Below are 22,420 nucleotides of genomic sequence, written 5' to 3' on the forward strand. Positions count from 1 at the left end.
TGGGGGTCGGGGTGAGATGGGGACAGATTACTGCCTGGAGTATAGAGGGTACAACAGAAAGTGCTGCAGTGAGGGACCTGGGTTTAATCTAAAGAGTGCTTTGTCGACATTTATTTCTCTAAGAAATATTATCAGGTCTGAGATTTGCTTCAAGGTCATCCAACAGGTATGGAAAGTGGATGTGGATGAGGGTTTAGAGGAAACAAAACAGGTGGTGAGTTGATAACTGCAAAAGGTGGATTATGGGTATATGAGGACTTATTGGAGCATCCATTCACTTTTGTATACATCCAAAAAAATCTAATTAAAAAGTGAAAAAAATTTACTCCTCTGAGCTGAGCTGGACTTTTGCTGATGGCCAATTATTTTAAAGGTTTTTGTTTGTTTGTTTGTTTTTTGAATGCCGGATCAGTGTCTCCCCATTAAGAGTAAAAATTAGGTAGCAATCACAGGAAGGACAAACCTAATGAGTCTGCTACAAATATACAGTAAAGGCTCAACTGGTTGACAACATTTATCAGGCAATCTAAAAGTGCAGATCAGCAAGCAAGGGAGGAAAATCAGAAGTTAACTTTAAAGCATGCATTTTTAAAATTTAAAAAGTAACAGGACAATATTATGTAAGGTTCAGAAGGCTACATACATGGAAAAAATCCCACTTTTCTAATGTGCCAGCTATTTTCATTTTTGTATGTAGCCTTCCAGTCATTCTGATCCATGCTGTTTTACATAATTGTAAATTTACTTATATACTTTTATATCTTGCTTTTCTTATTTAGAGATGGGGTCTCACTCTGTTGCCCAGGCTGGAGTGCAGTGGTGTAATGCCAGCTCACTGTAGTCTCAACCTCCTGGGCTCAAGTGCTCCTCCTGCCTCAGCCTCTTGAGTAGCTGGGACTATAGATGCATGCCACCACACCCAGTTATTCTTGCTTTTCTTTTTTTTTTTTTTTTTTTTTTTATTCTTGCTTTTCTTAATAAACACTATATCATAAGCTTTTCCTTATTTCAGTCTTCAAAGTTATAATTTTAATGTCTTCACGTGATGTTGTCCAGCGCACTTATCATAATTTACTAGTTGGTTTCCTGATTATTTTAATGCTTTTATCCTAGGAAGTCAGGAAAAACTCTGCATACCTATCCTAAGGCACTTCCTCATTAGCTGAATGGCAAGTATTTTTAGCCTAGTGAAAACCAGCGGAGAAGAAAGCATTAGGGACTTACGTTAACAGCCAGCATATCATTTTCAAAGGCCTCACGCAGCTTCTTCATAATCTCTATCTCAGCACTGGCACAGGCCTCAACTGTGCCCTTCACAGTGATGGTTCTTTCCGGGTTGTATATGCTCAAATCCTGCAAACTGACCCATGAGAAGAAAAGAGAAATTTTGTTTTCAACGGGAAAAATAAAATGCCCAAAAAATAAAAAAATCACAAACAAGTTTTGGCGGAGAGAGAGAAGACTCAATTCCCTCCCAACACACTGTGGTGGAGAATCCCTGCCATCTTATTTCAAATCTTACCAGTGATTTAGATCACATCCATAGTGAAAAATGTCTACCTGGTAAGTATTTATGTATTTTTTTAAAAGATGATGGAGATAATTGCATCACTTATGATTATATTCCCATTTTAGGGAAAAGTAGATGAATGAACTAGACGTATCGAAATGCTCAGGTGTTCCATTATTGGGCATGAGTAATCTGAGTAAGTGGCTTACGATGAGATTGTTATCTTGGTCCCTGTTTCATGTTCAATTTTCTTCAAATTTCTGCCTTCTTTTCCAATCAGTCTTCCAACCAAGCCATTGTGTGCCAAGATTTTCAGAGGAATCTCTTCGGCTCTAAAAGAGACAAGCAGCAAGTTAACACTTCAGATACGTATAACGGTTGTCTCCCAAAAACCATTACCTTGCTTTTTTCTTATAAATGGAAGTCATTTTGTTCAGGTACCAAGTGATGATGGGATTTGGGAGAGGTCAGGTCCCTCACCGACCCCAGTTCATGAATTTTGATTAACATAAGCCAAACCATGGTAATTCTACTCCCTCGTAGTAGCTGGTTGGAAGTGGATCCATGAGGCTGATCTGGCCAATGAGGGTATTACAAGAACTCTATTGGGTGAAGAATGTTCTCCTTGCTCTTAAAAAAAGGTACAAGGGAGAGTGACGTTAGCAAGATGGCAGACTAGGAAGCCACAGGTCTCTTTCCCCCTCACACACACCTCAAATTAACAAGAGATAGACCAGAACACCTCTGTGAGAACTCTAAAGATCAGCTGAGAAGCTATAATATGAAGTCCGCTGTAAACTAAAGAGGAATTCCAGGCCGGGCGCCGTGGTTCACGCCTGTAATTTCAGCACTTTGGGAGGCCAAGGTGGGCAATCGCCTAAGCCCGAGAGTTCAAGACCAGCCTCGGCAACATACTGAAACACTGTCCTTACTAAAAACACAAAATTAGCCAGGCATAGTGGTGCATACCTGTAGTCCTAGCTACTTGGGAGGCTGAGGTGGGACTGCTTGAGCCAGGGAGGCCAAAGCTACAGTGAACCATGATCACACACTTCTGCACTCCAGCCTGGGCTACAGAGCAAGACCCTGTCTAAAAACAACAACTATATATATATATATATATTTACTGGAGATATATATATATGGAGATGTATATATATATATATTTACTGGAGATATATATATATATGGAGATATATATTTACTGGAAATATATATATATTTACTGGAGATATATATATATGGAGATATACACTTACTGGAGATATATATATATATTTACTGGATATATATATATGGAGATGTATATATATTTACTGGAGATATATATATGAGATATATATTTACTGGAGAGAGAGACATATATATATGGAGATATATATACATATGGAGATACATATATATGGAGATATATATATATGGAGAGATTATATATATGGAGAGAGATATATATATATATGGAGATATATATATATATATATATATATAGAGAGAGAGAGAGAGAGAGAGAGAGAGAGAGAGAGAGATGTATATATATCCAGTAAAAAAGGTAAGAACATTCAGTGTTTTCAAGGCCCCACCCGCTACATGGCATACTGAAGAGCAAAGGGGAGGAAACCCTAAAGGCTGGGCTCCTCCTTTGGGACAGAAACAAAGACTGGATTATGCATACAACATTTTGGCTTGTCTGGAAGGTGCCAGAAAAACTGGTTTTTGTGTCACTGACTCAGAGCACTGAAGGATCAGCATTAGAGTTCAGAAGCTGCTGAAAACAGAGGCAAGCAGCATTTAAGAACTGCAGTTCTACAGTCAGACACCAGAGGGATCAAGAGATTAGAAAAGGTTTGAGAGGTCCTAGAACCTCTAGCTAGGCTGATTTCAGGTCTTCCACTGCCCAAAGCCAGTACACAGAGACTGTGAGAGGTGGTTGTTTTTTCAAATGCCCAAATCCCAACAAAAAAACTTACTAGGCATACAAAGAAACAGAGAAGCATGACCCAATCAAGGGACCAAAATAAAACTCCAAATACTGACTCTAAAGAACACAGATCTACATGCTCCCTGACCAGTAATTAAAAATAATTGTAAAGATGCTCAATGAACTAAACAAGAACACAGACAGACAACTAAATAAAGTCAGAAAAATTATGCATGAACAAAATGAGAATATCAACAAAGAGACAGAAACTATAAGAAAGAACCTAACAAATTCTGGAGCTGAAAAATACAATTGAACAGAAAAATTTGTTAAAGGAGTTCAACAGCAGATTTGACCAGACAGAGGAAAGGACCAGCAAATTTGAATGTAGATCATTTGAAATCTTCAAGTTAGAGGATTAAAATAAATAAATACAGTGAAGAGAGCCTAGGGACCTATGAGACATGCCAAGTAGATCAATATAAGCATAATGGGAATCCCAGAAAGAGAAGAGGGAACAAAGGGGCATAGAGCTTTATTTGAAGAAGTAATGGCTGAAAGGTTCCCAAATATGAGGAACAAAATGTACATACAAATCAAAAAATTTAAAGAACTCCAACTGGGACAAATCCACAGAAAACCACACTGACACACATTATAATCAAACTGTCTAAAGTCAAAGATAGAGTATCTTCAAAGTGGCAAGAGAAAAGCAATTGTGACATACAAAGGAGCTTCCGTAACACTATCTGCAGATTTCTTAGCAGAAACTTTGCAGGCCAGAAGGGAGTGGGATGATATATTTGAAGTGCTGAAAGAAACTGCCAACCAAGGACACCATGTGTGGTAAAACTGTCCTTCAAAAACAAAGGAGAAATTAAGATTCCCAGATAAATAAAAACTGAGGGACTTTATTACCACTTGACAAGCTCTACAAAAAATGCTGAATTCTCTTAATTTTCCTTGTGCTGCTGATTTCTGGTTTCATTCCATTGTGATCAGAAAAGATACTTTGTAGTATAATTTCAATCTTCTTGAATTTTTTAAGATTTGTTTTGTATGTTCTCTCTCCTGGAGAGTTCCACATGCATTTGAGAAGAACGTATATTCTGCCATTGTTGGGTGGAATGTTCTTGTATGTCTGTTGGTCTATAGTGTTGTTCCAATTCTATTTCCTTATTGTTCTTCTGTCTAGTAGTTTTATCCATTATTGAAAGTAGGGCACTTAAGTTTCCTACTGTTATCATGTTGCTAATTATTTCTCCCTTCAGCTCTTTCAAAGTTGACTTCACATGTTTAGAACTCTGAGGTTTGGTGTGTACATATTTATAATTGTTGTATCTCCTTGGTGAATTGTTCCTTTAACATTGTATAACGTCCCTCTTTGTCTCTCGTAACAGTTTTGTTTTTAGTCTATTCATCTGATAATAGTATAGCTACTCCTCCTCTCTTGTGGTTACCATTTGCATGGAGTATCTTTTTCCATCTTTTTACTTTCAGCCTATATGTGTCCTTATATCTAAAAGGAGTCTCTTGTAGGCCACATACAGTTAGATCCTGTTTTTAATCCATTTAGCCAAGAATGGGGAGTTTAATTCATTTGCACTTAAAAGTAATTACTGATAGGGAAGGACTTACTTTTGTCATTTTCATTGTTTTCTGTATGTCTAGTAGCTTTTTTGTCCCTTCTTTCCTTTCTTCCTGTCTTCCTTTATGTGTTGTTGATTTTTATTATAGTGATGTGCTTTGATTTTCTTTTGTGCGTTCTCATAGATTTTTTCTTGGTGGATACTATTGCAATTACATAAAACATCTTAAAGTCATAGCATCCTATTTTGAACTGATAACAACTTCACTTCAATTGCATAAAAAACTCTACTTTTTTACCCCATCCCCAAATATCACAAATTAACATCTTTATATGTTTTTATACCCATTAACATAGATTTATAGTTAAAAAAAGTTTTTGTCATTTAAATTCTATGTACCAAAATTACTACAGTACAGGTTACTATATTTGTTAATATTTACCCTTACCAGATAACTATATATTTTCATATGGCTTTGTGTTGCTGTCTATCATTCTTTTATTTTATGTTTTATTTTAACGTTTTTTCGTTTTCTTTCTTTTTTTGAGATGGAGTTTCACTCTTTTTGCCCAGGCTGGAGTGCAATGGCATGATCTCAGCTCACTGTAACCTCCACCTCCCAGGCTAAAGTGATTCTCCTGCCTCAGCCTCCTGAGTAGCTGGGATTACAGGTGTGTGCCACCACACCCGGCTAATTTTGTATTTTTAGTAGAGATGAGGTTTCACCATGTTGGCCAGGCTGGTCTTCAACTCCTGACCTTGTGATCCACCCACCTCGGCCTCCCAAAGTGTTGGGATTTATAGGCATGAGCCACTTCACCCGGCCCCATCCTTTTATTTCAACTTGAAAAGAACTAAACCCAAAACCAGCATAAAAACGGCAATAATAAAAATCAGAGCAGAGATAAACAAATACAACCAACAAAACTAAGAGTTGGTTCTTTGAAAAGATCAACCAAACTGACAAATCCTTAGCTAGATTAAGAAAAAAAAAGAACATTCAATAACTACAATCAGAAATGAAAGAGGGAACATTACTACCAATACGACAGAGATAAAAAGGATTATAAGAGAATATTATGAAGAATTGTATGCCTACAAATTTAATAACCTAGAAGAAATGGACCAATTTCTAGAGGAAACACACAACCTACCAAGATTGAATCATGAAGAAATGGAAAGTCTGATCAGACCAATAATGAGAGAGATTGAATCAGTAATCAAAAACCTCCCAACACAGAAAAGCCCAGGACCAGATGGCTTCATCGGAGAATGCTACCAAACATTTAAAGAAGAATTATCGCCAATCCTCCTGAAACTCTTCCAAAAAAATGAAGAGGAGGGAACATTTCCAAGCTCATTCCATGAGGCCAGCTTTACCCTGATTCCAAAGCCAGACAAAGACACCACAAAAAAAGAAAACTTCAGACCATTATCTCCGATGAATATTGATGCAAAAATCCTCAACAAAATACTAGCAAATCAAATTCAGCATATGAAAAGGATTATAAGCCACGACCAAGTGGGATTTGTTCCTGGAATGGAAGGTTTGTTCAGCATACAATTAATGGGGAGCTGGGCGCAGTGGCTTATGCCTGTAATCCCATCACTTTGGGAGGCTGAGGAAAGAGGATTGCTTGAGGCCAGGGGTTCAAGACCAGGCTGGGAAACGTAGTGAGACCCCATTACTATAAACATTTTTTAAAAAATCAATCAATACAATAAATCACATTAACAGAAAGAAGGGGGGGGAACTACATGATCATGTCATTAGAAAAAGCATTTGACAAACTTAACACCCTTTCATGATAAAAAACACCCAACAAAATTAGGAATAAAAGGAAATTACTTCAACATAAGACCATTTATGAAAAGCCCACAGCTAACATCACACTCAACGATGAAAGACTGAATGCAAGGCTTTTCCTCTAAGACCAGGAACAAGGCAAGGATGCCCACTCCTGCCCATTTCTATTCAACATAGTACTGGAAGTCCTAGCCAGAGCAATTAGGTACAAAAAAGAAATAAAAGGCATTCGAATTGGAAAGAAAGACATAAAATGATCTCTATTCACAGATGACACGATTTTATATGTAGAAAGCCTTAAAGATTTTACAAAAAAGGTTAGAATAAATTCAGCAAAATTGCAGGATACAAAAATCAATCAACATGCAAAAATCATTTACATTTCTATACACAACAATAAACAATCTGAAAAAGAAGTTAAGAAAACACTGCCACTTACAATAGCATCAAAAAGTATAGAATACTTAAGAATAAACCTAACCAAGGAGGTAAAAGACTTGTACACTGAAAACCACAAAAGGTTCCTGAAAGAAATTTAAAGGCACAAATAAATGGAAAGACATCCTGTGTTCATGGATTGGAATACTTAATATTGTGAAGATGTTTATACTACCGAAAGTGATCTACAGATTCAATATGAGCTCTATCAAAATCACAGTGGGCATTGTTTGAAGAAATAGAAAAATTCATATGGAATCTCAAGGGACCTTGAATAGCCAAAATGATTTCAAAAAATAAGGAAGTTGAAGGGCTCAGACTTCCTGCTTTCAAAATATATTACAAAGCTACATAATCAAAACAGTGTAGTACTGGCATAAAAACAGATAAATAGACCAATGAAATAGAATAGAGCCCAGAAATAAATCCTGCGTATAGTCTCCGATGATTTTTGATAAGGTGCTGAGACCACTAGATGGGGAAAGAGCAGTCTATTCAGCAGATGGTGCTGGGGAAACTGGACACACACATAGAAGAATGAAGTTGAACCATTATTTTACACCATATACAAAGATTAACTCAAAATAGGTTAAGGACCTAAACAGACCTAAAACTATCAAACTCCTAAAACACAGGAGAAAGCTTTATGATATTGGACATGGCAAAGACTTCTTGGTTTCACCATGATACCAAAAGCATAGGCAACAAAAGCAAAATTAGACCAGTGGGAGTACATCAACTTAAAAACTTTTGTGCATCAAAGGATATAATCAACAGAGTGAAAGGTCAACCCATGGGATGGGAGAAATATTCACCAATTATTTATTTGATAAGGGGTTTGCTATGGTTTCAAATTCCCCTCAAAACTCATGTTGAAATTTAACTGCCACTGGAACAGTGTTGAAAGATAGGACTTTTAGGAGGTGATGAGTTAATCACCTGCATTAATTAATTAATTAATCATGAATGGATTAATGCAGTTATCACAGAGTGAATTAGTGGGTTGAGGGATAGTTTGGACCTATTTCTTCTCTCTGTCTCTTGCACTTGCTTCTGCCTCAGGCCTTCCACCATAGGATAACCCTCACCAGATGCTGACATCACGCTCTTGGACTTCCCAGAACTGTGAGCCAAATAAACTTTTGTTCCTTATAAATTATCCGGTCTTTAGTATTCTGTTACAGTAGCACCAACTGGACTAATATATAGTTAATGATCAAGAATACATAAAGGACTCCTGCAACTCCCATAACGAAAGAATCAAATATCTCAATTAGAGAATGAACAAAGGATTTGAATAGACATTTCTCTAAAGATGATATACAAATGGCCAATAAATATATAAAAAGATGCTCAATATCACCAATCGCTAATCATCAGAGAAATACAAATCAAGACCACAATGAGCTGTCACCTCATACCTATTAAGATAGCTGTTATCGAAATAACAGAAAATAACATGTGTTGGAGAGAATGTGGAGAAACTGAAACCCCTGTGCACTGTTGGTGGGGTTGGAAAATGGAGCAACTGCTATGGGAAAAAGTATGAAGGCTCCCCCAAAAATTAAGAGTAGAACTACCATATGACCCAGCAATCTCACTTCTTGGCACATATCCACAAGAATTGAAAAGAGGGTCTTGAAGAGCTATTTGAAAACCCATGTTCATAGCAGCATTATTCACAATAGCCAAGAAGCAGAAGACCTCAAAATGTCCATCACCAGATGAACAGATAAACAAAATGTGCTATATACATACACTGGAATGTTATTTGGCCATAAAAAGGAAGGAAAGCCTGTTACATGCTATAACATGAACCTTGAGGACACTATGCAAAGTAAAATAAGCCAGTCACAAAAGAATAATAGTATATGATTCTACCTATATGAGGTATGTAGAGTAGTCAAATTCATAGAAAGAAGTGGTGATTACCAGAGGCTGACGGGAGAGGGAAAAGAGAGTTGTTTAATAGGTACAGAGTTCCAGATTTACAAGATGAAAAGGTTCTGGAGATCTGTTTCACAGCAATGTGAATATACTTAAGACTACTGAAAAGTACACTTAAAAATGATCAATAATTTTTTTTTTTTTCTGAGATGGAGTCTTGCTCTGTCACCCAGGCTGGAGTGCAGTGGTGCACTCTCGGCTCCCTGCAACCTCCGCCTCCTGGGTTCAAGCGGTTCTCATGCCTCAGCCTCCCAAGTAGCTGGGACTACAGGTGTCCACCCCAACACCTGGCTAATTTCTGTATTTTTAGTAGAGACGAGGTTTCACCATGTTGGCCAGGCCAATCTCAAACTCCTGACTCAAGTGATCCACCTTGTCTCAGCCTCCCAAAGTGCTGGGATTACAGGCATGAGACACCATGCCCAGCCAAGACAGTACATTTTATGTTATGGTTGTTTAACCACAACTTTTAAAGAAGTTTTCTGAAAAAAGGACACAAGGAAGGGATGCCCTCTCCCTCAATTTGTAACTTTTTTGTGGGAATGCACATCTGAAATCACTATAGTCATCCTATTATAACCAAGGGAACGTGAGACATGCTGAGGAACGTAGAGCAGAAAAATGTTCTGGGTCTCTGGGCCCATGATTCAACTGACCTTGGAGCCGTGTGCCTTAGGACTTCTTGTTATGTGACATGACATCCTTTTCTTATTGGTTATACCACTTGTATTTTCTGTTGCTTGAAGACCAAAAGCATCTAACAGATGCATTACTACTGCCTCAAAATAAAGAGGGTGCTTGAAGAAGCTGCATTAGAATGTAACTTTCAGAGGATGGGCATTTTTGTCAGCTTTGTTCACTGCTGAGTTCCTGGCACATAGAATAGTGTCTGGCACATAGTGACTGCTCAATAAATATTTGGTAAATGAACAAAAAGAAAGTTTAGGATCTCTGTTCTCCTATATCTTCTACCTCTTATTCAGTCCCTTCAGGGCTCTGTCACCTACACAGGGAGGCATTCTCTGAAACCCCCAAATCCTTGTCCCCCTAAAACCCTCATTAGGACCTTCAGTTACATGTCATCATTGGATACTACATTTTTCCACTGTAGAATTTCTTTTTTTTTTTTCTTTTCTTGTTTTGAAATGGAGTCTCGCTCTGTCGCCCAGGCTGGAGTGCAGTGGCGCGATCTCGGCTCACTGCAACCTCCACCTCCCAGGTTCAAGAGATTCCCCTGCCTCAGCTTCCCAAGTAGCTGGGACTTCAGGCGTGTGCCACCACGCCCAGCTAATTTTTGTATTTTTAGTAGAGACAGGGTTTCACTATATGTTGGACAGGCTGGTCTCGAACTCCTGGCCTCAAGTGATCCGCCCGCTTCAGCCTCCCAAAGTGCTGGGATTACAGGCGTGAGTCACCACATCCAGCCTCACTGTAGCATTTCTTATAGCTGCACTTAATTACTTATTGGTGTAATTACTCATTATTTGTTTAATGAGTGTCTCTCCCACTGGACTGCTCCATCAAAGCAGGAACCAATGGGTGAAAAAATGGTATGTGGGGAAGGAAAAAAAAAAAAGCAGGAACCAAGTCCTGCTCATGGTTGTAGCCTCAACCTCCAGCAGTGATTAGCACAGTGTAGGCACTGAAAAATTTTTTTTCTAAGATATTCAAACTCTATCTTGGCTCTACATGAAAACATAAAAGCCCAAGTTGTAAATTAGTCTTTTTGACTAATTTAGAATTTTATTAAGTTGTTTGCACCTAGGTTGAAGAATCAAGGAAGGTGGCTGGGCGCAGTGGCTCACACCTGTAATCCCAGCACATTGGGAGGCCAAGGCGGGTGGATCACCTGAGGTCAGGAGTTCGAGACCAGCCTGGGCAACGTGGTTAAACCCTGTCTCTACTAAAATTACAAAAATTAGCCAGATGTGGTGGCAGGCACCTGTAATTCCAGCTGCTCGGGAGGCTGAGGCAGGAGAATTGCTTGAACCCGGGAGACGGGAGGTTGCAGTGAGCCAAGATCATGCCATTGTACTCGACAAGAGTGAAACTCCGTCTCAAAAAAAAAAAAGGAATCCAGAAAAGTATTATTTACTAAGTTCCCAGGAACTTGGATGAGAAATGTCTTTTTCAAATTAAACTGTGGCATTTGGGGGATTTCAAAAGCCCAAGTAGAATAAATAATTCATAATAGAAAGGATAGAGTCTCTTATGAAATCTAAGAATAGATTTGTAATGTTCTTCTTTTAAGGACCATTTTCATCTTGGTTTTGGAACACTCATGTTTGACATTATTTGATTCACCCCTCACTACTTCTCTATAAAACTGCCACCGCTACCCACAAACAGATTTTGCCAAACTGAAAATCTACTTTTTCTTTTTTTAGGGACAGGGTGGTGCTCTGTCACCCAAGCTGGAGTGTGGTGATGCAATCATAGCTCATTGCTCAAATTCTTAGGCTCAAGCAATTCTGCCTCAGCCTCCTGAGTAGCCGAGACTACAGGTATACACCACCATGTCTAACTAATTTTTTAAATTTTTTGTAGAGATGGAGGTCTCACTATGTTGCCCAGCCTGGTCTCAAACTCCTAGCCTCCGGCGATCTTCCTACCTTGGCCTCCCAAAGCACTGAGATTATAGGTATGAGCCACTGCACCCAGCATGAAAGTCTATTTTTATTGTATTATCTATTCCATCACCACTCATTCATTTATAATACAAAGTTAATTTGTTTGGTAAGAACTGTATTTGTCATTCAAACTGGGACAACCCTCATTACACTGTGGAATCCTATAATTACTTCATAAAATAAGGGGAAAGGGCTGGACATGGTGGCTCATGCCTGTAATCCCAGCACTTTGGGAGGACGAGGTGGGCAGATCATTTGAAGTCAGGAGTTCGAGACTAGCCTGGCCAACATGGTGAAACCTTGTCTCTTCTAAAAGTACAAAAATTAGCTGGGCATGGTGGCGCACGCCTGTAATCCCAGCTATTCGGGAGGCTGAGGCAGGAGAATCACTTGAACCCAAGAGGCGGAGGTTGCCGTGAGACAAGATTGCACTACTGCACTCCAGCCTAGGGCAACAGAGTGAGACTCTGTCTTAAAAAAAAAAAAAGGAGAGGGGGGTAGTGAGGAGGAAGGACAGATAGAAGAAAAAAGTGGAAGAAGAATAAAGCAGCCATGTGTAAACTAGTTTCTACTACTTAAGGAAATGTAATCCAATGTTAAGAGTGCAAACAATTTAGAAGCATGGTGGGAGAAATCTTTTCCAGGACAATAAATGATAGCTTTGGTGACAACATACTTTCTACACTTGCACTGTCCAATTCAATGGGCATTAGCTATACACATGGCTACCAAACTCTGAGTAAAAAAATAAAACACTCAGTTCTTCCACTGTACTAGCCACATTTCAAATACTCAATAGCAACATGTGGCTATTGAACAGTGCAGATATAGAACATTTCTATCATTGCAGAAAGTTCTATTGGACAGCATGAGTCTGTATGTTCCTCCCAATAATTACTATCAATGGGTGATAGAAGCATCAAAATCACCGAGAGACATGCAAGTGAAGAGACAGCCATATGTAAATGCAAAAGATCTACTTCCCACTGTATTCTACTTGGGAACAAATTTCTTAAACACAATCCCTCCCTGCCTCTGTTACTGAGTAACAGATTTGGAGTTTTTAAAAAAAACCTCTTGGGTTAAATGAGGGAGAATCTACTCTTTTTCTCTGTTGAGTGATCTGGGCATTGCATGCAAACTTACAGTTTGGTCTCATCTGCCTCTTTCTGCATGATTTCAAGAATCATGCGGCATGCTTCAGAAGTCCCCTCTGGGGTGGCATGGATGGTGACAGGCTTCTCTGCAGCTCCAGAGTTCTCTTTTCTATGGATATCTACCCTGTAGGAAAAGAATCAGGAGCCATGATTACAAGGTCATCTGGATAGGACCCTAGCCCCAAGAAAGCGTCACACCAACCCATGTACAGCAAGGACACAGACAGACAAGGAGGCGTCATCAGCACGTTTGCAATCAGTGCCATTCTCCAAGAAGGAGGCAAGCAGTGCAGGGGGTCTTGTGCCAAATTTTAATTATTTGCAGCTTCATTTAGAAGGGAACGGTTCTTACAGGAGTGCTGTAGGACAAAGGCACTAAGCCAACTCAGTAATGAAGCCAGTTTGGTAAATGAAGTATTTTGTGTAGTCTTTCAAATGACTGCAGAAGTGAAGAGTAAAGTGAGAAGGATAATACTGCACATTGGCACAGTGCCGGTCTCTGAACTGATTGCAGCTTTTAAAAGCCATATGTTAATCCAAATCCGAACACCAAATTCAAGCAAGCTTTATATATTTGAGTGTGGATAGAAAACAGAGGCATGCCCTCTCTCTGCCTAAGTTTTTGGTTTCCTTTCCATTGGCAGCCTGCCATTAAGACTAATGGCTCAAAAGCTTGATGACTTTATCAGACTTCTTTGGGTAGTTGTGGTCCTACCTGTTTTTGTTAACTTTCAAAATTACATAACTGATTATATCCTTTTTACTTTGGTTGTTAGAAAGCCTAGAGCCAAGTCTTTGGTTGACGTCTAAAAAATGGGCACACACTTTGAGAGCTAACCCCACTTCTATTTAAACTTGTTACATTTTTTTTTCAAGCCACCTTACACAATTTTTGCACAAAAAGACACAAATAAAAGTCACTTTCGCAGTGAACTTGGAGGAAAAGCCAGGGCTGATTTTAAAATAAAAGGATACCAAACAGTAACTTCCCTCTCTATTTCCTCACTTCTAAGATGTGGCACTCCAGACTCATCCATATCAGTGTCTATTATTTGGGGATAAATAAGACATTCTGAAGAAAATAGCATTTCTCTTTCAGGTTACAAGACACCCACTGAATGACCTGAATAAAGTGTACCAGCCCATGTAAATAATTATTATGTGTCAGTAATTGGGTGCTTTGCAATTTAAGTACTTTCATATTAATTATTTCACTCAATCTCCCTGATTGTGCTAATTGTCATAATAATCCTGGCAAAACAGACAGGAACCCTCTATTTATTTATTTATTTAGAGATGGAGTTTCACTCTGTTGCCCAGGCTGGAGTGCAGTGGCGCCATCTCGGCTCACTGCAACCTCCGCCTCCTGGGTTCAAGTGATTCTCCTGCCTCAGCCTCCAGAGTAGCTGGGATTACAGGCGTGAGCCACCACAACTGGCTGATTTTTGTATTTTTAGTAGAGACAGGGTTTCACCATGTTAGCCAGGCTGGTCTCGAACTCCTGACCTCAGATGATCCCCCTGCTTCAGCCTCCCAAAGTGCTGGGATTACAGGGATGAGTCTCTGTAATACAGAGGGTGCCCAGCCAGAACCCTCTTTTTATAGAAGAGGCAACTGATGCTCAGAGAGGTTAACATCTTTTCCAAGATCACAAAACCATTTAAAGTGCTACAACTTGAACGTAAGTCTTTGTTTTCAAGTCCCGAGCTTGCTTTATTACATCATGCTACAGTCTTAGGAAGATACAAAAATCAACAATTCCATAAGACGTTTTATTCACCAACTCTTACAATCAGTTCAGTCTCCTTGAACAGGGAGGAAACTAAACAGAAGGCCAGTGTGCTTTATTTCTTGCTTGACGTGGCAGTGACTCACCCACTTCTTTGTGAGACTACCTATGTTGTCACAAGAATGGCCACCCCCAGGGCTCTGACTCAGGGGAAGAGGAAGAGCTATGATGAGTGGGTTCTAGGATCCCGCAGAGCTCCAAACCTCTGCTTTTGTAGAAATCAATGCATCCATAAGCATTAGTTCGCTTACAGGAACAGTCCTGGCTGTGAGGTTATCAGTACCCTCTTTATGAACTTTTAGCCTCTCAGCATGAAAGCTTGTCACAGCCCCCAGCTTGATGTTAGTCTGTTAGTAGTCCTGTTGAAAGAAGCCACTGTCTCTTACAGCACAGCCCCCCACTGCTGATGTAAGCAATTGTGACCTAAGAGTGGCTGAGACCCACCAGCACGCAGGGGACCCCTCAGAAGGAAGCAAAGGAAGCCCCACAGGCACGTACCGGGACTGGGTCTGCTTAGTGATGTTCTTTATGGTCAAGCCCTCCTTTCCGATGATGGCACCAACAAACTGGGTGGGGACCAGGATCCGCAGCGGGAAATCAATCTGTCTGGCCTGAGAAGTGCCCCCAGGGGCGTGGCCTTGCTCCCGGGAAGAGTGGTCCCCACGCTGGGCTCGCTGAGGGGGCGAAGGGGAGCTCACCTCTTCATCCGGGATGTAGGAAATCTTGAAGGAGTAGTTCTCAAACTGATGCCCGCTTAGCTTCTCCATGGCTCTGAAATGCAGCAGGACAGGGGAGCTTCGTCAGAAACCAACATCAAGAAAGACCCTCCCGGCCGGGCGCGGTGGCTCACGCCTGTAATCCCAGCACTTTGGGAGGCCGAGGCGGGTGGATCACGAGGTCAGGAGATCGAGACCATCCCGGCTAAAACGGTGAAACCCCGTCTCTACTAAAAATACAAAAAATTAGCCGGGCGTAGTGGCGGGCGCCTGTAGTCCCAGCTACTTGGGAGGCTGAGGCAGGAGAATGGCGTGAACCCGGGAGGCGGAGCTTGCAGTGAGCCGAGATCCTGCCACTGCACTCCAGCCTGGGCGACAGAGCGAGACTCCGTCTCAAAAAAAAAAAAAAAAAGAAAGACCCTCCCGCAAGACTGGTTCATTCACTCCCATTTAATAGGTGCCTATATGGTGCCATGCCAGGCACTGAACATACAGTGGTGAGCAAGACAGACACCATCTCTGCTCCCTCAGGGCTTACGGTTAACAGTTAAACAAGTAATCACAACGCATCAGCCTGGTCAGGCTTCATATCCAACATTACAGCCTGGTTTCTCCACCACTCAAGGCCATTTCCCCCTTATCAAAAACTCTTATAAATATCAGTATAAAATTATGACTCATTTTTTTCTCATTTTAATCATCATACATATTATTGAAAATTCAGAAATATGTAAGTGCAAATAAAATCCTAATCCACTATCTTTACTGTCTTTCTTAAATATAAACATATTATTGCTTATAAAAATGGGTTAATATTGTACATACTATGTTCTAACCTTTAAAAAAACAGTTAATATTCTAAAACATTTTTCAATGTCACTAAGTACCTTTCAGTATAATTTACACATGACTCAACTGCAGTATCAGTATAATTTTTAATGACTGTTTAACATTCTATTGATTTACCATAGTTTTTGCAACTGATCCTTTATAGTTAGATATCTGTTGTATCCAACCTTTTACAGTTACACACACTGTCACCATTGGCATCTTTGCAACTACAACTTTGCACACAGGACAAATTCCTAGTAGAATTGTTAACTATTGCCCAGTGGGCCCCTGGAATGGTTTCAACATTTATGATCCCATAGCAGTTTAGGAGAGAGCATTTGTGTCCTTGAATCTTCAAATGCACAGAGCGCTGTTATTTAAAGATATTTATCAATTTGATAGGGGATAAATGATATACCACTATTATATTCTTAAAATGACACACGAAATACACTATCCTTTTCACATATTTTTAGTAGCATTAACCCAATTTTACTAGGTTAATGTCTAGGACTTGTAAATTTATTACAAAGCAGCACCTTTTGAATTTAATAAAAGCAATAGAGTAATATCATGTAGAGAGGTCCACCCAAGCAGCAGCTAGATAAGGGCTGTGGAGTTGAGTTGTTGGTGTATCTCCACTTACAAATGTGTACAAGGTAAAGTTAACACTAAATGAACTATTACCTTTTTCTTTTTTTTTATTTTTTTCGAGACAGAGTTTCGCCCTTATTGACCAGGCTGGAGTGCAATGGCGCGATCTCAGCTCACTGCAACCTCTGCCTCCCAAGTTCAAGTGATTCTCTTGCCTCAGCCTCCCGAGTAGCTGGGATTACAGGCATGCGCCACCACGCCTGGCTAATTTTGTATTTTTAGTAGAGATGGGGTTTCTCCATGTTGGTCAGGCTGGTCTCGATCTCCCAGCCTCAGGTGATCTGCCCACCTCGGCCTCCCAAAGGGCTGGGATTACAGGCATGAGCCACCACGCCTGGCCTGAACCATTATCTTTTTCAATGCAAAATTAACATTTTGAAAACTAGCAGTATGAAAATGGGTTAAATATCTTTGTATGTTGAAAAAGAACACTATAATCCTGGGATATATAGCCAAGGTTATGCCACACCCATAAAGCAAGACCAAATGTGACCATAATTCTAGTTATAATGACCTGACAGGCACTTTAAGGACCTCCTACAAAAAAGGAACTTGTTTTTGTTGTTCTTTTAAAGATGGGGGTCTCATTATTTTGCCCAGGCTGGTCTCAAACTCCTGGCTTCAAGTAATCCTCACCCTCCCAAGTAGCTGGGATTATAAGCATGTGCCACCACATCCGGCTGTTGTTGTTTTGAGAGGCAGGGTCTTGCTCTGTTGCCCAGGCTGGATGGTAGTGGTGCAATCACAGCTTACTGCAGCCTTACCATCCTGGGCTCAAGTGATCCTCCTGCCTCAGCCTCCCAAGTAGCTGGAACTACAGGTGCAAGCCACCATTCCCAGCTAATTTTTAAATTGTTTTTTTGTAGAGACTGGGTCTCCCTATGTTGTCCAGGTTGGTCTCAAACTCCTGGGCTCAAGCAATCCTCCGGCCTTGCCCAAAATGCTGGGATTACAGGCATGAGCCACCATGCCTGGCCTCATTGTTTTTTAAGAGACTTGATCTCATGTCCATTAACAGCTAAGCTCAAAATTAACCATCCCTGAAGTAATGAATGGGCACTGGAAAGAGGATGGGGATTGGAGAAAAGAACCCAAACCAGGTGCTATTGAGTAACCACTCTCAGACAATTCTCTCGGCTGCTGCTCTCACTGAGGTGGATTCCCTCCTAATGTTACACACACAAAATTGATGTTTTGGTATAGGCTTGTGCTGCCTCTTCACAGTGCATGGAGGAAGCTCTAGGTAAAAGTGGTCCCAAGTGTTTGGCAAAGCAGAGTCTAGGAGACACAGTGTCACAGGTATGGTGCCCTCTATTCCCGATCATGTCAAGACACAGCTCCCATCTTGGTTTTGATGCCAAGGCTCAACATTTTTCAAGTCTCTACACAATCCACAAATATCCCGGTGTGAATGTCCTGGAGCTCCACTGACATGTCAAAGATGGCAGGAACACCCTGGAGCTCTACCAATATGTCAAAGGTGGCTCAGATGCCGTGGAGCTCCATGGGTATGTCAAAGGTGGCACATATCCAGCTCAAAGATCTGCATCTTTTTAGAAAACATTTAAAAACACAGAACTCAATGGAATTCAAATATAAAAACAAATAAATTTAAACAGAAATAAGCCCAAATCTGCTTACATTTTTGCTTCTTCTCTTGTTGCATATGTGACGTTGACAACGGCGGTTTCTGTGTCTGTGTTGACTAGGGAAAAGGCAAAAACTACACTGTCATAGGAAAAAGTGCTGTCACCCTCTGGCTTAATGTAAACAGACAAACTTTAGAGAAAAATGCATAAAACCCTCATCACACTGGCTCCACAGTTATCTGCATCTCTACGTTTATTCATCTGAGTTCACAGTAATTTGTAATCAATTGTATATAACACGTTTGTAATCAATCGTATGAACAACTCAGAACTATATTTTCCACATATTTTATAAACACTTTTATATGAGTATTTTGTATCAGTACATTTTCTTTGTATTTTTCATTTTTAATGTCTATATAAAATTGCAGTGAGTCAAATGTACCATGACTTGCCTAACCATTCCCCAATTGTTGGTAAGTAGGCTGTTCCCACTATTTGCTAGTCTAAATAGTGTTGCTAAAAATCACCTTTGTTGCAAACATCACTGGATTGTGTGTTCTTCTGAATTACTTCTTTAGGCTAAAATCACAGAAGAAAAGTAATGCAGTAAAAGAACATGATGCTTTTTAATGCATATTTTCAGACTGGTCTCCTAGAAGTTTGTATCAATTTATTACATCACTATCAAGGTATGAGTTTTAATTATAATTTGCATTAATTCTTAAATAATTGGATATACATATAAAACAATAAGAAAATATTTTAATTTAAATTATTCATTCACTGACAAGGTTGAACCATCACTATTTTTGTTTCCCTTTGACTGAACTCTTTGACTGTGTGGGTTAAATCTAATAAATAAAACTGACAATTCTAATTACTTGGCTAAAAGAGAAAGTATAAACTCTATGATTGGCTAATAAGGGATTACTCTTGTGAGTTGTCTTGTCTTAGATCATAATTTCTTGCCTCTTCTTCTATAGTTAGAAATTAAAAATAAATTCAAATGCCAGAGAAAACTTTCTCAATCCAAGCCAGTAAACTTAAACACCAAAAATATATGTTTCCCAAAACAAAGGTGACTAGATCAATTCTTCCCTTTAAAAGATTTAAGCTGTTGGGAGTTTGGAGTTAACAACAACATTAAGTTAAAGATAATTCAAGAAAATTATGATAAACCTGCTGTCCAAAGTAATAATAAAACTCTATAATATACGATTCTTTACACTGGACCCATGCTTGAGCTTCAAGAATTCTATAAACCCCTCCAAAATGATTCAAACTTGTAGAAATGTGAATTTTTCTTGTTATTTTACAAGATTTGCAAAGGGACCTGAGACCCCGAAAAGCTTAAGGACTACTGTTAAAAATACTGTTTGTTAAATAACTTTAAAGCAGCTGCAGCCTTTATGGGTTGCAGGGAGTTGTATGTAATGCTCAGAAAGAGCTGCCACTGAGAATTACATGTAATAAACCCGAGCCCAGCTCTGGCCTTGGCCTGGAGTGTTCATAGCACGCTTTAATTCACACTTAACCCACAGAAGTCCTCACAGTGCAAAACAGGGGAGGTGTAGCACATTACTGTCCTCTCTCAGTGCTGACACAGAGAATGCTAAAAAGGTTTCATATTTGCTGCTTTCTAGTGCTACAGATAAGGCTGTAGACTCCCAGAAAGGGCTGGGTTTGAACCTCCTGAATAAAGCTATCCATTAGGATTCTCAGATTCTGTGCTCACTTCTTAGTCATATGCTCTGTTCTTCAAAGATGTTAGTCTTCAGGAAATCAGGCAGTTCTTTGATTCTGTGACGAGCTAAGCTCCATTCAAATAATTTATTTCACTGGGCATGAAAGTTCTATAAAGTTGCCTAAAACTCTACTGAAAATATTTTCCTGCTGAATCAGGAATCACTCATGTAACAGGACAAAACAATAGCCCAACAGTTCTATCCTGTTGTTGTTAGGCAGCTGGAAACTGGGGGGTCTCCAGCACACAGCTGCCCTAGGACCTATAAACTGCCCCAGGGACCTGGAATATATTTTTCTTGCGTAGCATTGTCCTCAGTTTATAATATAATCTTAACTAGTAACTTTTACAGGTTCATGTCTGCAAGACCATCTTGCCTACAACACCCAATCATTAGAATGTCTTCTTTTCTGCCGGGCACGGTGGCTCACACCTGTGATCCCAGCACTCTGGGAGGCCAAGGTGGGTGGATCACTTGAGGCCGGGAGTTTGATGCCAGCCTGGCCAACACGGTGAAACCCTGTCTCTACTAAAACTACAAAAATTAGCCAGGCATGGTGGCGCTCACCTATAATCCCAGCTACTAGGGAGGCTGAGGCACAAGAATTGCTTGAACCCGGGAGGTGGAGGTTGCAGGGAGTAGAGATCATGCTCCTGCACTCCAGCCTGGGCGACAGAGTGAGACTCCGCCTCAAAAAAAAAAGCAGGGGGAGTCTTCTTTCCATGTCGAAGGAAATAAGAACTAAGAAATAGAATCCTTATAAATCATGTCTTCTTTCTGAGCTCTTTCCCTTCACCTTTGGGCATGGGCAGGCAGCAGCATAAACTGAATAATATCTGAATAATTACTGCTTTAAAACTATTAATTAAACTAGCAGAATAGATCATATACAAGAAAATGGGTTGTTTGCAATTTTTCCTAAGTGAACTTGAACAATCCCTTCAGCTTACGTATGACTCTGCTGTCTACAAATGCCTTATACAGGTTCTCTTTGGGTAACACAACTATCCAGTGACAGAGGAAGGGTAGAAATTTCTCTCTCAATTTGACACTTGTGCATACTGAGTCAGTGAGGTTATTTGACTTTTTCAAGGGTTCGCAGTCAGTAAATGACTGAATTTACATTCTGTTTTCTAGGTCAAGGCAAAAATAATCTTTATCATGTATTATTGCCTGTCACATCAGGAGTTTGGAATCTACTTTTCTGGGACTCTTAAAGAGCTAGATAAGATATCAGCTTTAGGTACCACTGTTTTCCTTTTAAAAATCATAGTATTTCATGCTTTAGAAGATAAAAAAGAGGTTGGCAGGAAGAAAAGTATCTTCTGGGCATTTGCAGCACTGCTCCTGAGACAGGTGTTCTCAAACTTGAGTGTACACAAAAATCACTTCAGGGTTTTTGTTTGTTTGTTTTGAGACAAAGTCTCACTCTGTCACCCAGGCTGGAGTTCAGTGGTGTAATCTCGGTTCACTGCAACCACCTCCCAGGCTCAAGCGATTCTCGTGCCTCAGCCTTCCAAGTAGCTGGGATTACAGGCATGCGTCACCATACCTGGCTAATTTTGTATTTTTAGTAGAGATGGGGTTTTGCCATGTTGGCCAGGCTGGTCTTGAACTCCTGGCCTCATGTGATCTGCCCACCTGGGCGTCACAAAGTGCTGGGATTACAGGTATGAGCCACCACACCTGGCCTCGGGTGCTTTTTTAAATATAGATTCACGAGCTCTTCCCTGCAAGACTCTTACTCAGCAGGTCTACAGTAAGCCCTAGGAGTCTGCAATTCACAAGCACTTCAAGGGATTATTGGTATAGGAGTCCTATTCATTGGGTAACACTCAGTCCAAGACATTAGGGATCTGTTTTTCTTATCCAGGGAAAGGAAAGTAGCAACCGTGTAAATCCAATTACTCCTAAGTGAATTAAGCTTACCCTAGCCTGACAGCGTTTGTCAGTGCTTGAGCACACTGCACAGTATATGAGAAACAGCTTGTAAATAATATTCCTCGAAAAGGCAAACTACATAGACATACATAGAAAGAGACAGATATCTCTCACATCTATGTAAGATACATCTTACATAGATGTAAATACATATAC

At 40.0% G+C, this 22,420-nt stretch overlaps 1 protein-coding gene across 38 annotated transcripts in view, besides 2 other annotated features; it reads right to left on the reverse strand.

The window, feature by feature from the left end:
• The window catches only part of IGF2BP2 (insulin like growth factor 2 mRNA binding protein 2), a 181,913-nt gene that overhangs the window by 30,942 nt on the left and 128,551 nt on the right, over positions 1-22,420 (reverse strand). For 17 of the 38 annotated variants that reach the window (NR_138486.2, XR_007095624.1, XR_007095628.1 and 14 more), the window contains 5 exons: positions 18,628-18,691; positions 15,284-15,556; positions 12,986-13,120; positions 1,720-1,842; positions 1,225-1,360 (listed from right to left, as the gene is read on the reverse strand). Coding sequence is in view for 31 of the 38 variants with exons in the window: in XM_047447321.1 (XP_047303277.1) it covers positions 1,225-1,360; positions 1,720-1,842; positions 12,986-13,120; positions 15,284-15,556; positions 18,628-18,691 (731 nt within the window). In the remaining 7 variants the exon portion in view is untranslated. Of the gene's footprint in view, positions 1-1,224; positions 1,361-1,719; positions 1,843-12,985; positions 13,121-15,036; positions 15,150-15,283; positions 15,557-18,627; positions 18,710-19,105; positions 19,158-22,420 lie in introns of those variants that run through there. The other 21 variants (XR_001739984.3, XR_007095625.1, XM_047447319.1 and 18 more) reach the window with 5 other exon arrangements.
• Positions 14,398-15,597: an enhancer, noted in NCBI's record as "P300/CBP strongly-dependent group 1 enhancer chr3:185406257-185407456 (GRCh37/hg19 assembly coordinates)". NCBI's record gives its function as "activates an origin of replication core promoter dependent on BRD2, BRD4, P300/CBP, MED14 and CDK7 cofactors, with strong dependence on P300/CBP, by STARR-seq in HCT116 cells {active_cell/tissue: HCT116}" and the evidence as "EXISTENCE:reporter gene assay evidence [ECO:0000049][PMID:35650434]".
• Positions 15,253-15,430: a silencer, noted in NCBI's record as "fragment chr3:185407112-185407289 (GRCh37/hg19 assembly coordinates)". NCBI's record gives its function as "represses an EF-1alpha promoter that drives an FKBP-Casp9 reporter gene in an ReSE screen in phorbol 12-myristate 13-acetate-treated (for megakaryocytic differentiation) K562 erythroleukemia cells {active_cell/tissue: K562(+PMA)}" and the evidence as "EXISTENCE:reporter gene assay evidence [ECO:0000049][PMID:32094911]".

This window comes from Homo sapiens, chromosome 3 (genome assembly GCF_000001405.40).
Source record: "Homo sapiens chromosome 3, GRCh38.p14 Primary Assembly".
NCBI classification, from domain to species: Eukaryota; Metazoa; Chordata; class Mammalia; order Primates; family Hominidae; genus Homo; species Homo sapiens.